The sequence below is a fragment of the Homo sapiens genome, chromosome 18 (assembly GCF_000001405.40).
Source record: "Homo sapiens chromosome 18, GRCh38.p14 Primary Assembly".
In the NCBI taxonomy this organism is placed as follows: Eukaryota; Metazoa; Chordata; class Mammalia; order Primates; family Hominidae; genus Homo; species Homo sapiens.
This window is the reverse complement of record NC_000018.10, coordinates 71,511,991-71,533,917: the sequence shown is the minus strand read 5'-3', so window position 1 is coordinate 71,533,917 and position 21,927 is coordinate 71,511,991. Positions and strand designations below refer to the sequence as shown.

The following is a 21,927-nucleotide window of genomic DNA, read 5'->3' as shown; positions in this document are numbered from 1 at the left end:
TAGTTTTTTTTGTGTTTTTTTCAGCATGGTGTGAAGTGCTTTCATGTAGCTTTATTTGTATGTATACTGCTTAGATTTGCAGATATTTTGCATATGCGATTTGTTGCCTATATCTATTTTATGAATTCTCAGGCACTGATTCTGCAGATATTACTATTTTCTTCTATTAATTCTCTCCATTTCTACTTGAATTTCTTGCTTTTTATCTTTTTTTATCATCTTTTTTGAATACTTATTTTAGAGATTTTGTCTTGACCTTGTCTTCCACCTTATTAGTCTCATTCCTGTTGAAGATAATAGCGTTGTATTTTAAGACCTCTGTCTGATAACAGAGCCAATACCAAAATCTCCATGGGTCCTTTTCTAATGTCAGGTGTTTTTGTAGTTTGTTTTTTGTTTTTTCTCATAGTTTTCCCTCATTTGGTCGTGTATATTTCCCTACCTTGTAATTTTTTAAGGGATACCAAGTATTTGATAGTTGTCATTTTTAATGAATAGCAGGTATTTGAAACTTTGTGGAGGGTTGTAAATGAGCTTACTTTCCTCCAGAAAGCTCTACTGCTTTCTCTGCTCTCATGGTTTCTTCAGGATTCTGGTATCTAAAGTCCTGGTTAACTAAATAGTTCTTTAATGTACTAAAATAACATTTTATTTGATACTTTTAATGCACTTATATCCTTATTTTCTACTTTTTAACATGTTTGCAGAGGGATATTAATCTTCTAGAAGCAAATATATCGTAGCCAAAAGCAGATGATTTAAAATTTTGCCCCTGTTAGGTTGGTAAATAGGTAATGTGAAAACATATAACAAAGCTTTATTTCACTCTTGATGATTTTATGCAAATTGGTAAGAACATTTTCTAGACTATTTTAATAATATATTTAAAATTCAGAATTATGAATTATTTATAACTACCATTTTTATTTTTAGAAATTTATACTTCAAAAATACTTGTGCAATGGTACAAAGATATATGCAAAGTGTTTTTAAAATATAAATGTAGCTATTGACATAAATAGTGATTGATGGGAGACTTTATATTTATACAATATACTATTAAAAGTACATAGAATGTTTAATTTATAACAGTAAGTATGAAATTTGATCACTGGATTATTTTCACAGTATCCAACTTACATAACACATAAAACCACAACAAACACTTGATTGGGTAGGATATATGTAGTTTATTATGATAATTATGAAAGACCTAAAGTAGAGCTCTTTCATATAGGCTACATAATTTAGAAGTTAAAATTACGTAATTCAGACACAAAAGCATGAATTTGGTTTGCTGTAGGTGTTTTCAGCACCGTTAATGACAAATTAAAATGCAAGTTAAACTTAATTTAGTTGTTTTCCTCTACCAAATAACTCCCTTGTATTACAACTTTCAATGGCTCTTTGAACTCTTTACATAATTACACAGTAGTAATTTAGTCTCTTTAGAGGAAATCACTTTCAAAAGATTAGATTAAATAACATTCATGGATAAGATGCATGGAAAGAAGGAATAATTACGTTATAATCAATGGATAAGGTTGATTCCTTGACAGTAGATTGTAATCTTTTTCTACTTATCTGGATCATTCTATTCCTTTATTTCACTTTTTTCTCTCAATTAACTGAAAAGAAAGGTGAAGAAATAATATAGATATGGGAATTGATGTAGAAATAGGAAACATATTTTAGATAGCAAGTGAGGGAAGCGTTTCATAGAGGTATGTCCCTAGCTTTAGGAATTCATCTTTCTGAAGGTTTCACTTGATGATAAATAATATAGCTGTAAGTCTTGAATTTGATTGAAATAAAAATCTATGTGTATTTTGTGTTATAAAAATCTAAAGCATAAAGTCATCATTGAAGTTTAATTTTCCATCTTTGTTAAACCTTGCTGCTAATAAGTATGCTGAAAAGAGGCTCAGAATTTTCTACCCACTACAGATTGCCAGTAATTGATCAAGCAAATCTATCAATTCTAAAGTTGAATTAATTTTTAAAATCAGGGTTTAAAATGAATTTCTTACTCATATATTTTATTTTCAGTTATTCTCTTCTTTTGTGTTATTAACTGTAAAATATTACCACACTTTTTTAGGTCATAAAGGTCAAAGCTAATAGACAAAAAAAGCTTCCAGCATGGATGATGAGCAAATTAGATGCCTCTCTGCTCAGCATGAGGTTTTTTCAGCTGCAAAAGTAAAATGAATCAACCATGGAATTACCCCAATGCACTAATAGCTACCGCTGTAGTGGTAGATCGTTATATATCTGGGCAATTAAATTTTAAATGTAAGTAACGTTATAAAATAGGTCAATATTAAATTTTAAATATAAAAATAAAATATAATTAAAATGAATTTAATAAGGTTGCTTAACTTGTAATTCACAGTTTACATAATTATATCATGGATGGGAAGATATTTATGTATGATATTCTTTTTTGGGGAGGTAAATATTCTTAAAAGCATTAGAAGCATATGCATCACTTAAATAATTCTCACAAAGCAGTTCCTTGCCTGCCTTCTTATTAAAAAATGTATCTCTAGTAGCACACCATTTTAAAGGTATAGGTTGAATTAAGGTAGTTTTCACTGTGAATAAGTCAATAGTGACTTAAAATTGAGGCATTTGGGGATTTCATTTTAGTATAGATAAATTTACTTTTTTTCTCATACTTTTTCTTGTTTTCACTCACCCTAAAATCTTCATTTTTATTTCAATCAAAATGACATAGAAAAAATATGCTATGAAATCTTTGCCTATGCCTATGTCCCACATGATATTGCCTAGGTTATCTTCCAGGGTTTTTATACTTTTTGGTTTTACATTTAAGTACTAAATCCACCTTGAGTTAATTTTTGTATCTGGTGTAAGGAAGGAGTCCAGTTTTAACTTTCTGCATATGACTAGCCAGTTATCCCAGCACCATTTATTGAATACGAAATCTTTTCCCTATTGCTTGTTTTTGTCAAGTTTGTCAAAGATCAGAGAGTTGTGGGTGTTCAGTCTTATTTCTGGGTTCTCTATTCTTTTCCATTGTTCTATGTGTCTGTTATTGTTCCAGTACCATGCTTTTGGTTACTGTAGCCCTGTAGTGTAGTTTGAAGTCAGGTAGCATGATGCCTTCAGCTTTGTTCTTTTTGCGTAGGATTGCCTTGGCTATTCGGCCTCTTTTTTGGTTCCATATGAATTTTAATTTTTTTTTCTAGTTCTGTGAAGAATGTAAATGGTAGTTTAATGGTAATAGCATTGAATCTATAAATTGCTTTAGGCATTATGGCCTTTTTCACAATATTGATTCTTCCTATGCATGAACATGTAATGTTTCTCCATATGTTTGTGTCGTCTCTGATTTCTTTGAGAAGTGGCTTGTAGTTCTGCCTGTAGAGATTTTTCACCTGCCTAGTTAGCTGCATTCCTAGATATTTTATTCTTTTTGTGGCAGCTGTGAATGGGAGTTCATTCCTGATTTGGTTCTTTGCTTGACCGTTGTTGGTATACAGACATGCTAGTGATTTTTGCACATTGATTTTGTATCATGAGACTTTGCTGAAGTTGTTTATGAGCCTAAGAAGCTCTGGGCTAAGATTAGGGGGTTTTCTAGATATAGGATCATGTCATCTGCAAACACGGATAGTTTGACTTCCTCTTTTCAGATTTGAATGCACTTTATTTCTTTCTCTTGCCTGATTACCCGGGCCAGAATTTTAATACTATGTTGAACAGGAGTCGTGACAGAGGGCACCCTTGTCTTGTACTGGTTTTCAAGGGGAATGCTTCCAGCTTTTGCCCATAATGTTGGCTGTGGGTTTGTCATAGGTTGCTCTTATTATTTTGATGTATATTCCTTCAAAGCCTAGTTTGAGAGTTTTTAACATGAAGGTTTGTTGAATTATATTGACAGACTTTTCTGCATCTGTGGTTTTTATCTTTAGTTCTGTTTATATGATGAATCACATTTATTGGTTTGTGTATGTTGAGTCAAACTTGCATTCTGGGCATGAAGCCTACTTGATCATGGTGGATAAGCTTTTTGATGTGCTGATGGCAGTTTGCCAGTGTTTTCTTGAAAATTTTTGCCTCAATGTTTACAGGAGATATTGGCCTGAAATTTCCTTTTTTTGTTGTTGTATCTCTGCCAGGTTTTGGTATCAGGATGAGGCTGGCCTCATAGAATGAGTTAGGGAGGAGTCCCTCCTCCTCCTCAATTTTTTGGAATAGTTTCATTAGGAATGGTACCAGCTCTTCTTTGTACATCTGGTAGAATTCAGCTGTAAATCTGACTGGTAATGGGCTTTTTTGGTTGGTAAGCTATTTATTGATGCCTTGGTATCAGAACTCATTATTGATCTGTTCAGGGATTTGATTTCTTCCTGGTTCAGTCTTGGGAGGGTGTATATGTCCAGGAATTTATGCATTTCTTCTAGATTTTCTAGTTTATGTGCATAGAGGTGTTCATAATATTCTTTGATGGTTATTTGTATTTCTGTGGTGTCAATGGTAATATCCCTCTTATCATTACTGGTTGTGTTTATTTGAATCTTCTCTCTTTTCTTCTTTATTAGTCTAGCTAGTGATCTATGCATTTTATTAATTTTCTCAAAATACCAGCTCCTGGATTCACTGGTCTTTTGAATAGTTTTTCGTGTCTCTGTCTCCTTCAGTTAAGCTCTGATTTTGGTTATTGTCTGCTGCTAGCTTCAGGGTTTGTTTGCTATGAGTTCTTTAGTTCTTTTAGTTGTGAGTTACGTTGTTAACTTGAGATCTTTCTAACTTTCTGGTGCGGGCATATAGTGTTATAAATTTCCCTGTTAACACTGCCTTAGCTGCTTCCCAGAGATTCTGGTACATTGTATCTTTGTTCTCATTCATTTCAAAAAACTTGATTTCTACCTTAATTTCATTATTTACTCAAAAGTCATTCAGGAACAGGTTATTCACGTTCCATGTAATTGTATGGTTTTGAACAAATTTCTTAGTATTGATTGCCATTTTGATTGCACTGTGGTCCAAAAGACTGTTATTATTTCAATTCTTTTGCATTTGCTGAGCAGAGTTTTACTTCCAATTATGTGATTGATTTTAGAGTAAGTGCCACAAAATTAAGATATATAATTACAAATTGTAGTTTGGTATCTATAACACACCTATATATTTCCAATTGAGGTCTTTTGTTTGCTGGTTTTCAAATCATTCAGAAATTTTACATAGAAAATTTTTTACATACATTGGATTTAAATAATAATTAGTTTTCACATTCAAAGAATTGGTTAGAAGGGATCATACATGTATGGGCACATAATTTGACAATCCACTCATTGGACTATGAGCAAAACGTTAAGTTCCTTTAAAAATGAAAAAAAGTTAGAAAAACAAAACAATTCACTATCCCCTACAACAAGGAATGACAGTCTTATACTTAATTTTTTAATGAAAATGGATAAATTGTTTAACATCTTGGCTGGTTAATGATAAAAGAATGTCAAAGGAGTAAAGGAGCCACCTGGAGGCTCTCCCAATGGACAAAGCTGGAAAATTTTGAGAAAAATAAATAAAGTAATTTGATGACAAAGCCATGAGTCCATACCTACATAAATCAATAATGAAATAAATAAACAATTTGGAGAAAATAGACAAATCTTTTGTAAAGAATAATTCCAAATAATTTATCTAGATACACTACCCTTAGGTATATGGAAAACAAATTTTCACTCCTTAAGTGTGGGCTATGCCTGGTGACATCCTTCCTAAGAGTACAGTATGGAAAGAGAGAAAACGGGGTGATTTTATGGTGGAGAAACCCGACAAATACTATCTCACTCAGGTGATCAAATTTAATATCCACAGTCCAAAGTCATGTTGATAGGATATATGCACTCTTGGTATAATGTGAAGATAATGGCACTTTACTTCTGGTCTTCTTCCCCAAATCCCATAACCCCAGGCTAACTGTGAGACCAAGTCAGCAAATTCTAATTGAGACACGTTCTACAAAACACCTGACCACTACTCCTGAAACAGTCAAGGTCTTCAGAAATAAAGAAGGTTTAAAAAAATTATTACAGTCAAGATACACGGCAACTAAATGTGATGTGGTATACCGTATGGGATACAGAAACTGAAAAAGGACATTAGGTAAAATCCAAGGAAACCTGAATCAAGTACGGATGTTAGTTAATAATGATATTCAATTGTGGTTCATTAAGTATGATAAATGTATTACAACAATGAAAGATACTAACCACAAGGATAACTTCCCAATCCATAATAAATGCCCAATAATTATGGTATATGAAAACTATCTTTACTATGTTCATAGCTTTTCTTTAAATCTCTACGTGGTGAATTTTTCCAGAAAGTTTTTCTTGTCTATTAGTTCATTTACTCCGCACAAGAATTCTATAGTGTAGACATTTTTCATTTACCTTTGGGTAGAAAACTAAACTTATAATTTTTTTGCATCTTGCTTAACATCACTCAAATATTGTATGGTAGAAATAGGAATTGAATTTATGATGGCAAATTCTTTTCTGCAGCAACCCAAACCATGAAATACCACTAGCACTGAGACACTTGATATTAGGCAATATCTTTGCATAATTAAATCAAGTTTCTAAGTGATATGTACAGCATTATACATTGTAATGAGCCTTAAACTATGTGTTGATGGGTATCTAAAGATGAAAATGCGGTCAAGTATTTGGGTTCTGGGAGCAAATTGCCTAGACTCAAATCCCACGGTAACATTTTGTAGCTGGATGACCTGGCCAAATTTGTCTGTGGCTTGTTTATTCTGTTCTATACAACAAGAACAATGCTATGGCAATATTTAAAAGGTTTGTTGAGAGAATTAAAATTAGTATATGTAAAGTGTTCACAACAATTCCAAGCCACAAAAAGTGTCCAAAAATTTTTATCTATTACTTCTAAAAATGTCTTAATTAAAACACCAAAGACAACCATCACATTAATTTGGGCACATTTAAGATTATCAACTGGGAATTGTTGTTAAAAGGCAATATAGATGTCATGACAAATAAATAAGGTGACTAAAAAACACAATTACAAAACGAAAGAGTCCGAAATGTAGTGTGGTGCTATAAGCCAGATTTTGCCTCATAAACAAACACAGCTTTTTGTATGTCATGGGGAGCAACAAAGAATCATTTGATTCATTGTTGAAGTCAACATCCTTATTGAAGTTTCAGAATGATTCTGTAGAGTAAGATTGTGATTGCAATCCTCATCCTCTCAAAATAATTTAATGTGCTTTGATATTGCCTTACATTAAAATTTATTATCTGTTATTTTCAATACATGAAATTTTAGAAAATTTTAAGACTCTCAGAGATAGTTTGCATATACTTAATTAAATTCTACTGGTATGTTCACAGTTTGTTACAGCTACTCAATGTGCAATTAAGTAGACATTTTGGGCAAAAAACTGTTATGCATTTCGTGGATTAACCTTTCACACCCTGTCCAACAAGAGGAGCCAAGCCTCCTGACTCCAACAGCGTTTGCAGACCTACCATGGAGTGCATATTCATGTTCTGGTGCTTTTATTTCTGTGAAATAGACTCCCAAAGTGGGATTTATGAAGCAAAGGTAATATGAATTTATAATTTGGTAACAGCGTGCCAGGGTACTTTAGAAAACATGATAGTTATTCTCACTTTCACTACAATATGCAAGCGACATCATTTTTTCTTTTTAATGATATTTTTCTATTTCCTCTGCTCCCAATCCACAACCCAAATATCAGCTAAAAATGATAATTTACTTCTATTTGAATCTGCACGCTATGGGTTACTGATAAGGTTAGTACGTTTTCTTAGTTTATGGACCATTAGAATTGTCTGATTTCTGATTGCCAATTAATATTCTGTACTTCCTTTTTCCTTATTTTATTAAATTTTCCTTCCTTCTTTTCTTTCTTCCTTCTTTCCATCTTTCCTTTTTTTCCTCCTTCTTTCTGCCTTATTCTTATCTGCATGATAAAGTTTCCATATATACTGTAAATTGTAAACCCTTTGTCTACCAATTTTTCTTTCAATATTTTCACAGTCTGAATTTAACATTCAATTTTAAACATGTATCTAAATATATATTTAACATTTATATCCATAAATTTATTCATATTGTTCTTACAAATTATGGGATAATTATGAATTATTCCTTTCATGCTTAAAAATATTCTCTGCAGTTGGAAGTGTTTTATTTTTATCATGTTATACCTAGAATTAACTTTGATAAATGCTCTGAAATTAGAATTTATTTACTCTTGGCAGCCAAATTTATCTGCAATATTTACTAGATGCAATATTATTTAATCACTTATAAATAATGACATCTTATATGAAATTATATAATAATCAGGTAAGTTTCTGTATTTTATCTTGTTTTTTCAGCGAAATTCAGTGACTTAAAATATAATTAATATCTACTAGATAAAAGCTTCCTTATTGTAATATATTTATACATTTATTTGGGTAAGACTATAATTCTGATAGTAAGTGTCTTAGGTTCTCTGCGCCTCCACGGGTATAAAAATCTCCCTCATAGGGATATTTTGAGGATTAAATGAAATAATACATAACAGTGTTTGAAACACTATCAAGCAAAAGGTAAATACCAATGAAATAATATGTAATTGAATATTTGGCTTACCTTCTTTATGTGTGATTATTGGTGAATTTCGTATTGATTTTTACCACTCCATGCTTAAACTCTTGTGTATTTAGGAAAGAAGACTACATTTTATTTCTATATTTAATCAAAATTTCTGCTTTTATTCATTTTATAATGTTTATTTTTTTCCAAAGTACATATTTTAAACCATATTTCACTTGAGTACTGATTTCATCACCTTGTAGAGTTTTTCCACATAATTTAGACACGTTTTCTTTATGTCCAAAAATATGGCTAACATTTTATTTTGCAATCCTCCCCGAAGTTTTAGTTAAATTCTAAACACTTTCTTGCAAGGTACAGTAGTTTTACTGTCAATGCAAAACACTACACGCATCTCTTCCAATAACAGCTAGCAGAAGAAACATACACACGCGCAATGCTTCCATTTCCAAATATCTCTATCAAGGGCTATTTGCGATTAGCAAAATGTTACATGTCACAGAGTAGATGGGGAACAGAGAGTGTTCTAAATCTTCCTCCTCTAATGCTTAGAGCACTGTTCTGTTTTATATATGAAGCTTTCCTTTACTGAATTTGAGACACAAAATGTAATGCTGCGTTGTTGGGAATACTACTCATATAGAGTGAGGAAAACTAATTAAACTAGTAGAACACTTAGCTATTAAGGGTTTGATATGTGTTCAGAGATACTGTGAAACACAGCTTATGGGAATATTGATACAATTTTATCTTCTTCCTTTTAGGTTAAGAGAGGCTGATTTTATAAGTTTTGTGTGTGTGTGTGTGTGTGTGTGTGTGTGTGTGTCAGTGTGTCTGTGTGTCATTGTGACTGTGGTTATTTTACAGAAGAGAGCATTTCACACATTCATTGTGTTAATTGCAGGGATATAAAAAGGTGACAGTGTTAAAGTCTGCAACAATTAAGTTGACTGGATAAGCTCCAAGTGAAGAGGAATAAGAATAAAATAGCAATTTTAAACAATTGAGAAAGTCACTGTAATTGTGAACTTGCCAATGAAAAGAAACACATGTCTCTGTGAATGGATTTAAAGAGCATGTTTTGTCTTCATCGCAATTAAAGTATATTAATTATATGTAACATCTGTGAATGTCTCAGGACTAAGGCGTTTCTCAGAAATGTTGCTCTAAAATGTCAGGTAATGGATAGAAAAAGCTGCGGAGCATTAGTTTGTGTCATTTCATTTTTAAAAAACTATATATCAAATAATTAAAGGATCCATGAGCCAAAAAAAGAAAAATCTCCTGGGAAGAACTGTCTCAAAATTACCCCCTTAATTATCAATATTTGGGAGATACAATGGAGAGACTTGGAGAAAAGTCTCATTCTAGATTTTTGCCTGGCAAGTCTCATACTCTTTGTGCAGAGGAGAATGTGAAGGAGCTTCTGTCGCAGCATGGAATTTGTCAGGGCAACTCTATTACTCTGGCCTAGATTTTTATTATCTTCATTCCTTGGTGGGCTCCAGATTGAACATAAATCATGAAAGGGGCTCAATGAGTTGGTGAGAGATCAGATTTTTTCAGCAGTATTTATTGCCATTCCAGTACTGTGGAAATTGTATGTGTGTAACAGCAGATTGAATAGTTCTGCAGGGGTTAGAAGACACTGGTAAGCGATATATAATAAATTTCATGGGCACTTCCTGCTATTGATCTGAGACTCAGCTTTGAGGCTCATTTAATTTCTTTCATAACATTTTTGCCTTAGTGAACTTGATAATTCTTTTCAGGAAAATGCAAAGTAAATAAAAATTATGTTGTCACAGAAATCATAACTTTCAGAATTTTAGATAGGTGAATGCTTCGGGATTTTATAGGTCATTTTTGGACTGTCAGTAAGGCATTTATGCCTCAATTCAAAGCATTTCAGAACTTTATTTTACTTAGAAATGTTGTTTATCTTTTGCCATTATCTGTTGTACTGTTTGGGTTCCTACTGAATATCACATATTGTAATTAATATGATGTATCTTTGACAGGGCCATCTTGTGATACATGCACTGTCACAGGAAAAGTTTCCAGGAAAAGTCAAGCCAGGGCTTCACAGAAGATCAAAAGAAAGAGACAAGGAGAAGCTAAGTGTATTAGTCAGGATTCTCTAAGGGACAGAACTAATAGAATATATATACACACACAAACACACACACACACACATATATATACATATAAATAAAAGGGAGTTTATTAAGGAGTATTAACTCACACAATCACAAGGTCCCACAACAGGCCGGGCCATCTGTAAGCTGAGGAACAAGGAAGCCAGTCTGAATCCCAAAGATGACAAACTTGGAGTTCAATGTTCAAGGGCAGGAAGCATCCAGCACAGGAGATAGATGTAGGCTGGGAGGCTAAGCCAGTCAAGACTTTTCACGTTTTTCTGCCTGTTTCATATCCTAGCTGCAATGGCAGCTGATTAGATGGTGCCCACCCAGATTAAGGGTGGGTCTGCCTTTCCCAGCACACTGACTCAAATGTTTATCTCCTTTGGCAACACCCTCACAGACACACTCAGGATTAATATTTTGCTTCCTTCCATCCAATCAAGTTGACACTCAGTATTAACCATCACACTAAGCTTGTTATTTTATAGAAATGCTTGAAAACCAGAGATAAATGCAGCTACAAATGAACGATGACTCTGCGTTTTCCTTGTATATATAAAGATCAACAATAACACTTAGGTCATGAAACCCACCTACTTTACAGATCATTATGGAAATAATACACTGCTTCAGCAATGGAGAAACAATCATCCATATTTATGCAAGAACTAAATTCAAGTTTGAAAGCTTGCTTTGAGCTTGAAGATATAAAACATGATTCTGTGACAGTAAACAATGTATAACAAATCTTACAGAAATTTATGTGATTACTAAAAAAAAATCAATTCATCAATTCAATAAACTGAGTACCGTATTACTTTTCTATTGCTTCTTTACCAAATAAATACAAGCTTTGCAGTTTAAAACAACAGAAATTTAATTTTTTATAGTTCTGAGGGTCAGTAACCTAAAACTGATCTTATGAAATAAAGTTAAATCTTGGGGATATGGGTGTGGACAGGGCTGGTTTCTTCTGGGGCTCTGATGGTAAAATTTGCTTCCTTGCCTTTTCTCCTTCTAGGGAGCCTGCATTCCCTGCCTCCTAGTGGCTTCCTCCCATCACTCGAACCTCTGTTTCCAGCCTCAGGATTCCTAATGTGACTCTGACGTTTCATCTCCTGTTTATGAGGACGCTTCTGATTGCTGTGAGTCCACTTGATAACCCAAGAAAAACATGCATCGCAAGGTCCTTAAATTAATCACGGCTGCAAAATGCCAATTATCATAAAAGGTCACATTGACAGTTCCCAGGGATCAAGATGTGAACATACTGGGGACGAGGGCCATTATTTTGTATATCACAGACGTCTCCCATGTGGATAGTCCTCTACTAGTTACTACATTGATTTAGACAGATGTCTTCTATCGCCAAAGGACTTACAATGCATATAGAGGGACAGACTTACAGTAGTGTGAGAAGTGCAGAGACATATGGGAGTGCTAGGTAGTCCTTGAGCACAAGGAATCATAGCTACCATGGTGTTCTGGTGACATGAGGAGCTACAAGGGAACGCACAAGGTAAGACTAGTGAAAGGACAGGGAGTAGAAGATGAGCCTTGAGAAAATGGTCAAGTTGGTGAAAACAGGAAAGGAGTTTCCCATAAAGAAATATGGGGAAGAAAGAAGAGTTTCCCAGGCAGAAATATGCGGGTGGTGATGAGGGTGGGGGGGACATGAGGGAGCTCATTGAGGTCAGGAGAAGTTAGCGTTTACACAAGAAAATGAAGATCCATGAGCCCCATGGAACAAGGACCAGATAATACAAAACTCTTCATATGAGTCTGAGAGAGTGGGTCTCAGCTCATCAATATCACCTAGGAACTTTTAACATCTCTGATGTCTAGATCCTTTATCAGGTCTGCTTGACAAAAAGTGGGTCCTGGTTATAGGCAGTGATGATATTAATAACATTTTATTTTAATGCACGTTCAGGCTGAAAAGCATACTGGATTTTTAAACACTTAAATTTTATGTGGAGCATACTAGAAAACTAACAAATAATTTTAAATCATCCAGGTCTGACATGACATAGTTATATTTCTACTTTCAGAAGATACATACGGTGACACTATGGAAGTTAACTTGAAGATTAAAACCCTGAAAAATAGAAAGAATCTTCTATGGTATATCACAGAGATTACAAGGGCCTGAATTAGAGTGGTGACATTTTCATCCCTTGATAATGGATTAAAAACAATTGAATGAAGCTTTGGGGTGAACTTACAGGACTTTATGGCAAACTTCATATGGGAGACTTACATGAAGGGAGGAAGAAATGCGTATGTGTACAAAATCATGTGGATAGATGTGCATTTGTGGGTATCTGTGAATACAAATACACAATTTTCAGACAGAAGTAGTATAAGAAAAGGAAATCAAACAAAGTCAAACATTTTAAGTGTAGCTCTTGGTGCACTTTAAAAAATTATTAAATTGAAGCTGTAGTTTATTCTCATCATTGTCATCCTATATTAGTGATTTTCTTTAGCTTTTGAAATTAAATTCATAATATTACAATTCTGAATTCCTATGTATGTATATGTTAAGAATCCTTTAATGGGACTGACTTTCATATGTGTGTGGCTGCATTCTGAAATAGTTGTCTAGTTGATACATAAAGCAGTGAGTGCTATTTGTAAGATATATTTATATTTAAAGTCTTCATACAGTTATTAACTAGCTCCAATATTACTGAAATGATTTCTCCAAATATCCTATATTTAATTATCATGCTGGCAAATTTATTATAACTTTGGTTTGAAAAAATATATTATGATACATATCCACTGACTAATGCCACCTATCTGCTTTCCTGAATTCAAAGTTTATGATTATTTCCATAAATGTATTTATCAGTATAATCAAAAATAAAAATAACATAAATAAAATTTCTGTGAGCTTTACACATCTAATGTGCAATGATTATAAATCTGGTCTTATACACATGGTAAAAAACATTTAAGTCACAAAAGTATACTTCAGGTTTAAGTATAAATCTGAAATTAAATTCTCAGATTTAAGTATAATTTTTAAAAGCTTTGGTAATTGTGTCCCTACTGTTAAATTTATTGTATAGTTTTCACTATATCATCTGACCTTTTAATGTTTCTAGAAACTTGTGTGAGGTCTCATACTTCATGGCTAATAAAGTATTTATTTTTCTATTCTTGATCAGTTTTGTTGGATTTTATCAATTTTGTGAAATCTAACACATGACTTTCCTAATTTTTTGTATTGTTTTTGTGTTTTCTATTTAATTTCTTTTTCTCTTATCCTTACGATTCTCTTCCTGCTATGTTTTCCTAGTTTAATTTGGTGGGTTTTCTTGTTGTTGTTGTTGCTTCTTGGAATACAAATAATAACAGTGCTGTATGCCTGTAATCCCAGACAGGAGAGGATGAAGTGGGAAAATTGCTTCAGCCTAGGAGTTTGAGAACCACCTAGGTGGCAGAGACAGACCCTGTCCTGAAAAAAAAAAAAAAAAAGGAAATAGATAAAAATAATAAAATAATAAAAAGGACATTATTCTTGAGCTTTTTCTCTAATTATTTTCCCTGAGATAACTTGAAAGCTTTAAAAATACATCTGAGCAATGCTTAGTCAAGTTTTACAAGTTTTTATATGCTAGACCATCATTTTCATTTAGTTGAAAATACGTGCTGTATTTTAAAATATTTTGTTTGGATCCATTGCTTATTTAAAAGTCTAGTGCTTAATTTTTACACAAGTTTGCCTCTTCTAGTTATTTTTATTTTTTGTGTGTTCTACTCACTGGTATTTACATTAAATATTTAAGTTTAGAATATGTGTATGTGTTCTGGAAAAGGTGGTACATAGTTCCTGTTTTTCCTGTTATTAATATCTTACATTAGTATGATACATTTGTCATAATATTGAACTAATGTTGATGCATTATTAATTTTATCATTGATGGGTTTTTACTATTACCATTCTTAATTGGGGACAGCAGTGTCAGAGGAGTTTGTTTAAGATTTCAAACAGAGGCAAGAATTGCTGTGTCTACTGATCCAAATGTTATTACTGGGGTGGGAAACCCTCTCTTGTTAAGCATGAATTTTCAAGATACAACATTAACAAAAGTCCCTGTTAGATTCAAATTTTCTTATTTTTAAATTATCATCTCTTCTTGTGTCCACAATCCTCTCCATGGTGCCATGTTATATTTAATAGTCATATATCCTTAACTTCCTCTTGGCTATGACAGTTTCTCAGATTCCTGTTGTCTCTGATGACCTTGACGCTTAGTATTGATGAGGAATTTTGTATAAAGTACCTGAAATGGAACTGGTCTAATGTTTATTTCGTGACTAGACTGATAATGTTTTTAGGAAGAAGACCATAGAAATAAAGTGCCATTTTCATTTCATCAGGTCAAGAGTACATCTATGCTCTTATCCTGACTTGTCACTGTTGATGCTAAACTTAATCACCTGGTTGAGTTAATATCTGTCAGGTTTCTCCAGTATAAAGTTATTCTATGTTTTTTCCCTTTTCATACTTTACTCTTTGGAAGCAATCAAATTTTGTATGTTAATCATGTATCTTACGACCTTGTTACGCACGCTCATTAAATCCAAGAGTTTTTGAGATCTTTTGTTTGTTAATTATGTTTTTTGCATTTGCTGAGATTTTCTGCCTAGGCAATCATGTCACCTGTGAGTAAAGACAATTTCATGATATCTTTGCCAGTCTTTACATATTTATTTCTTTTCCTCATCTTACTGCACTAGGTTGGAGTCTTCTCGGTGTAATATTGAATAGGAATAGCAGGAGAGGCCATTCTTGCCTTGCTCTAGTTATAAGGGGAAAATATGCAGTTTCCTTCCATTAACTATAATGTCAGCTATACGTTTTCGGTATATGTTCTTTATAATATTGAGGAATTCCCTTCTATGTCATTTGTTGAGAGGTTTTATCATGAATGGCTATTGAATACAAATAAATCTTTTTCTGTACCAATTAACACACTCACATGACTGTTTTTTAGTTTGTTAATGTGGTCGATTACATTAGTTGACTTTTGAATACCTAAATGTTTAGCCTTGAATATCTGGAGTAAATCCTAGTAAATTGTGGTGTGCAATTATTTTTATGCATTTTAAGATTTGATTGCTAATACATTTGCTATGTTTTTTAGAGATATTGGTCTGTAATTTTTATTTTCTGTAATGTCTTTATGTGATTCTGGAATTAGGGTGATTTTGGCTGCATAGAATGAAGTAAGAAGTGTTTCTTTAATTTCTATTTTTTGAAAGCAAGAATGATCTTGAAGAATAAGTATTATATTTTCCTTAAGTGTTTGGTAAGAGTTCACCAGTGAAATGTCCTAGGCCTGGTAATTTCTTTCTTTTTTTTCTTCTTTCTTTCTTTCTTTGTTACTCATTAATGCCTCAATTTACTTAATAAGTAAAGATCTATTTTAGCTAGAAACCTGCTGATCTGGGGTCTTGGTGTCCAAAACAATTTGGGTGGTGCTTCAAACAGGAAAAACAATAATGACTCAATTGAATTGTAAAATGAGATTCTGTTCTGGACATTCTGGGTTCCTTGTGCCACTGAATGAACAGGCAGGGGAAAAAAAAAAAGAGTTAATCTATTGGCCAGAAAAAAAATTATCTTGATTACCATGAGGAAATTGAGTTGCTGCTACATAATGGTAGTAAAAGGTACTGTATTTGGAACCCAGGCAATTATTTGTGGTCTCTTATTAAGTTCCATGTCCAAGGGTAAAGATTAAGGCAAAACTATAACAACACCTAAGATGACCACAACAAAAGCAAGATAATTGAAGACACAGCCTCTTGAGTATATAAATAACTAAATACTTCAGCTTTTTCACTGAAGTATGTATAGCTATGCATATATCAGACTAATATGTTTAAAGATAAAAATATTCCTGGAATATATCTATTTCAAAATGCAAAAGGATTTTATATACCAGGATGGTATAATGATTTTAAACTTTCAATCATCATACTCCAAAGCCAGACAGCATACAAAACAAAAGAAATGTTTACAAAGCTCAACTCCTTTATTGTAGAGGAGGCAAAAGTGTGTAGGTTTAGATTTAAGAGATTTATAAGTGGCAAAACACAGCCCTTTGGCTCCTCAGTTTCTCCATGCATCCTCCACACACATTCGAACTTCTATATTTCAGTGAAACAGCTATAAGCTTCCACTGAAAGATACAAGTATTTTTCTTTTAAGAGAAGTTCTTGCCCTTACCCTAACCGAGGAGATGCAGAATGCCATCAGACATTATCCATTGTTAATTATATTAATTACTCTGCAAGCTCAGTCACAGGGTATTCTTCTACCTAAAGACTAAATGGTAAAATTAATGTTTCATAACTTGATGTCAAATATTTATAGAAAAAAAGAGATAATATAAATATAAATAACTGAAGTATGTAATAAATATAAATAATAACCAGAGAGGAAATCAAATCTAGACAGTTCTCATTTCTGAAGTTGGTCACAGGTTGTAATGGATATCAAGGGCTTCCTTCTTTTACTGTTTATTCCGTATTTCACCTTCCCTGAGCCAGAACTTTCACTGTTCAGGTTTGCTTTGTCAGTTTGTTTGTTTTTTTATCTATTAGCATAATTCAAAGCTCCTGAGTAGCTGGAGGCGCGCGCCACCATGCTAGGTTAATTTTTGTATTTTTAGTAGAGATGAGGGTTCACTATGTTGGCCAGGCTGGTCTCGAACTCCTGACCTCATGATCCGCCTGCCTCGGCCCCACGAAGTGTTGGGATTACAGGCATGAGCCACTGCGCCTGGCAATGTTCTGTGTTTCTTAAGCTGTCTATCTGTATTAACAAAATAATTTTAATATACCTTATTTTCATCTTTTAACAATTCACTAGTTGTTCTTTTCCTACATCTGATGGCTATTCTAGAAACTACAGCATTCATACATGACTTTTATGCAATTGACTTAATTTGTGCAGTAATAATACAAATGATTATTTTTATCACTTTCCTGATATATTTAGAGCCTTAGAAAATTTAACTTATTTTGTCCTTTTCTATATTTTATGCTATAATTGTAATCAATTTTGTTCCATGTATATTTTAAACTGCATAACACATTACCTTTATCGTATGTGCAGTCAATATTAATTGATAATTGCAATTTGCTCTTCAATTTTTTCCCCTCTTTGATTTAAATATTTCACTCTGGGATCATTTATTCTGCCTGAATAATTTTTTTCAGTTTTCATTTTATTGAAGGTATGCTGGAGACAAATTCCTTCAAACTTTGTCTGAAAGCATCTTTGTATGTGCATATATAAAGTGTGTATTGCCCAGTTACAAAATTATTGGTTTGCAGTTATTTTTCAGTGCTCTAATCATGCATTTTTTCCCTAGATTTTATCATTTCTTTTGAGTTGTTGGTCATCTATTTAAAGGTATTGTATCATTTTCCCCTAATTTCTTTCATAATTTTATATTTTTGTATCCTTTTCCTGAGTTATACTATGATACATCCAACTATGACAATCTTTGTTAATCAGAATTGTTTTTCTGAGACTTTGAATCAGTCAGTTGAATTTTTCAAAACAGTTCTCTAAAGTTCTCAGCCATTATTGCTATAATTATATTTTCTGCCCTATACTTTCTCTTTTCTTACTATTGTAATGCAATTATATATATTTTTAGTCACTGCGAGGACCTATTTTTCATTCATTGTCCATCTGTGTGACTCAGTTTGGGTATTTTCTACTGACAGTCCTTTGAGTTTTCTATTCTTCTGTTCTGGTGAGTGCCATTTGCTGTTAACTTCATCCGGATTTCAAATTAATTTTTTCCCTTTATGTATTGAGAGTGATTTTTGATACTTCTATTCAAATTTAATTTTCTGGTACAATTTTGATTCTTTAATCTATTTTGTCCATGGTGTATTATATTTTTAAAATACTAACCCTTGTTATTTTAAAAACTTGTTCATCAACTCCAACATCTTGATCTTCTCTGGGTCCTCTCCTAGTCCTTTTTAATTTTTTAAAAGCTTTCTGATTATAGTCTATGTCTAGTAAATTTTCATTGTGCACTAACCATTGAATATAAAAGAAGTAGAGTCCCCTCAAATGCTAATATCTTCTACCTGAAATTGTTTCTTTAACTGCCTATTAAGACAACAGATTGAGAGAACAATCACCTGAATCCAGTGTTGGATTTCAACCATTGCCATTAGGTTCAAACCTTAAGTAAGCCTTAGTGATTCTCTGTTTTACCCCTGTTCTTCAAGCACTGTTTTAGTGGGCATTTGATTTAAAGCTCACAAGATTCCTTTGTTTTCAGTCGTAAAAGCCTGCAAAGAAATTGCCTCTTGCCTTGAAAACTTTCTACAGTCTACCCAGTCTCTTATTGCAAGTATTCAAAATCTGCAAAATTGTGATGGGAAGACTTGAAGGATGCTACAGTGTAGGTCCTCTTTTAATTTTCTTCTGTGAATACTAAAATACTTCAAGACATCATCATCTAACTTTTGAAAAAAGAAAAAATAGCCTACCTCTTCAACTTCCCACAAAGACCTAAAACACAGAGGTTATGAAGGAATATTTAGTTGTTATTAGAAGTCCCTCAATTTTCACATCTGTCATACGTCTCAGTGAAACTCCCAAAAACTGCTGGTTTCTCTGTTTCTTGGCAGCTTACGATAGCTCTGACATTTTGCTTGAGCCCAAATTTTACTCTTCTTGAAGGGGAAAATAAAATTTTAAAAAAACTGTTGGTTATACAATCATCAGCTCATTAAGACATAGCTCTGCCCATCTAAAATTTTACATTATTTTGTTGCTTTAAAGTTCTTTGATGATTTTGCTAATGTATTTAGTTATGTACGTTAAATATGTTCTACTTGTTCTAGTGATAGCATTGACTTGTAATGACCACTTCTTTCTTCCAAAAAGCCATAGAAAGAAAAGTATTAATATTTATGTTTTTAGGGAAGGAGTGAAAGAGTTATAAGTAGTGATAACTCAATATATGAGGCCAGTATTAAACGACATAACTATGTTTTCTTTATAATGCATTTTAATGTAAATCACAACTCGCTCTTATTTTTCTTCCCAATAATTGGTATGCCACTGTCACAGTCTTACTCCCTCTCATATAGACAGTAAAATAATTTTAATTCATTTTGAATTTTCATCAAAATCCTAGGTTAACTATTTTTCCTTATGCTGAGTTTTTCTACTTAAGAAAAAAAGAAACTTTTTGTTTTAGTACCTTATATTTTTTCTTGAATTAATGGTTACTTTTTAAGTATATCTAGGTCTTTTAAATTTACTTAGGCATTTTCCTGACTTTTTTCCATAGCATATAAGAACTGTTCCATAATGAATTTCTAATTAACATATTATAAAACTATTGATATTTATTTACAAAGAGACATTTACATTATATGTTTCTAATACTTCTTTGTGCATTCTCATAAATTTTCCAGATTTAACTTAATCATTTGTAAATAATGTCAATATTCTTTTATACTTCCCAATATTTTCTTTTGTTTTTATTTCTAAACTAGTTCTAACTAGCTATGTGAAAAAATCGATAATAACATTAAATGATAGAGTGATTATGCTCATATGTGTCTTGTACTTGATATAAATGGAAATTGTTCATTGTTGTTCATGACTTTTTTATTCTGTATAAATAAATTATTAATCCTTTTCTATTTTTCATATAAAAAATAGTAATTTTGCATGGTAATCAAAGGTTGCAAACATGGTAAATCAAAGACAAAAGGCTCCATGGTTCCTCATAGGTTCAATAATCATTCTTAGTAAATGATCCATTCTCCTCTTTTCTTGCATAAATTGGAACTGGTAATTTTTTTCAGTGCTTATTTGTTTTTGCTTATTTTATTTATTTTTGCTGAAATTAAATAATTTATTCTTTATAGTCTAGTCACTATACTTTTCTTAGAGTAACTGTTATGTTTCCAAGATTACAAAAGAAAACATAGAAGCCTCTGTTTTCTTCCAGTATTTCTACATATTGTCATTTTTTAACATTTAAATTGGTAGTCATACCTAAAACTATGCTTATTGTAGAATTGTTCATAGTAAAAGCAAAAGAGATAATGAGTTAATATCCGTTAATATTTCAATATCAAAACCACCTATTACATCAGCTTTATCTGCATTTGCATTTATTTTAATGAAAATGTAAGAATTGCAAGGTTTTTCAAGGAAGCAACACTTATGTCTCCCATAGTACACATAACTATATTGAGCAAGGTCAGTGTCTTCTGTTGTCTTGGATGAGCACTCTTGGCTGAACTCTTGCAGTAGACAATGTAATGAGATAGGGTCTCACTCTGGTGCTCAGGCTGGAGGGTAGTGGTGCAATCATGGTTCACTGCAGCCGCCACTTCCCTGGCTCAGGTGATCCTCCCACCTCAGCCTACCAAGTAGCTAGAAATACAAGAGTGCACTGCCATACCTGGCTAATTTTTTGATTTTTGTAGAGATGGGGTCTCACTATGGTGCCCAGGCTGGCCTCAAACTCTTGAGCTCAAGCAATTCTCCCTCTTCAACCTTCCCAATGTGATAAGTTTCCAGGCGTGAGACACTGCGCCTGGCCCTCATTTATTCATATTACTTATGTTTTTGTATGTATAGTTGAACAAAATGTTTACTTTTTAAATTTTTCCAATATGCTTGTTTCCTATTTTCCTATTATCCTTGTCATTTCAAAATTTTCAAATTTTATATGTTCTCCAACAGTTGAAAGGAAAGTATATTATCTGTTTTGGAGGTGGAATACATTATTATTTTAATATCTGTGCCCTGAAACAAGATTGTTAAGCCCTTGTGTTCATATAGTATATCTGATATTTCTTCTTGTAGTTTCTATGTATTTTAATTCATAGTTTTATGTTATTTCTTAGTGAAAAGTGCTGGATCTTTGTTGTAGATTTCACCACTCATTATAAAGTGGTTGAATTATCTTTGTCTCAAGGAAACTTGATATCCTGCTTCCTATTTGTCCATTTGCTTGGTATATGTATCCTAATTTTTTTAACTTCCAAACTATGTAGTAGATTTATGAAAGATCCATCTCTTATATAAAAGTTGGATTTTTCCTTATTACCTAATCATTTATTT

At 32.6% G+C, this 21,927-nt stretch overlaps 2 long non-coding RNA genes across 3 annotated transcripts in view; one reads left to right on the top strand and one right to left on the bottom strand.

Moving 5' to 3' along the window:
• The window catches only part of LINC01541 (long intergenic non-protein coding RNA 1541), a 58,993-nt gene extending 45,039 nt beyond the window's left edge, over positions 1-13,954 (top strand). The window contains exons 4-7 of one of the 2 annotated variants that reach the window (NR_038325.1): positions 2,102-2,295; positions 5,951-6,141; positions 10,662-11,929; positions 12,836-13,954. This is a non-coding gene — a long non-coding RNA (long intergenic non-protein coding RNA 1541). The remainder of the gene's footprint in view (positions 1-2,101; positions 2,296-5,950; positions 6,142-10,661; positions 11,930-12,835) is intronic. The other variant, NR_038326.1, reaches the window with a different exon arrangement.
• LOC107985179 (uncharacterized) overlaps positions 1-21,927 on the bottom strand; it is a 191,915-nt gene that overhangs the window by 90,082 nt on the left and 79,906 nt on the right. The gene's annotated exons all lie outside the window — the stretch shown is intronic.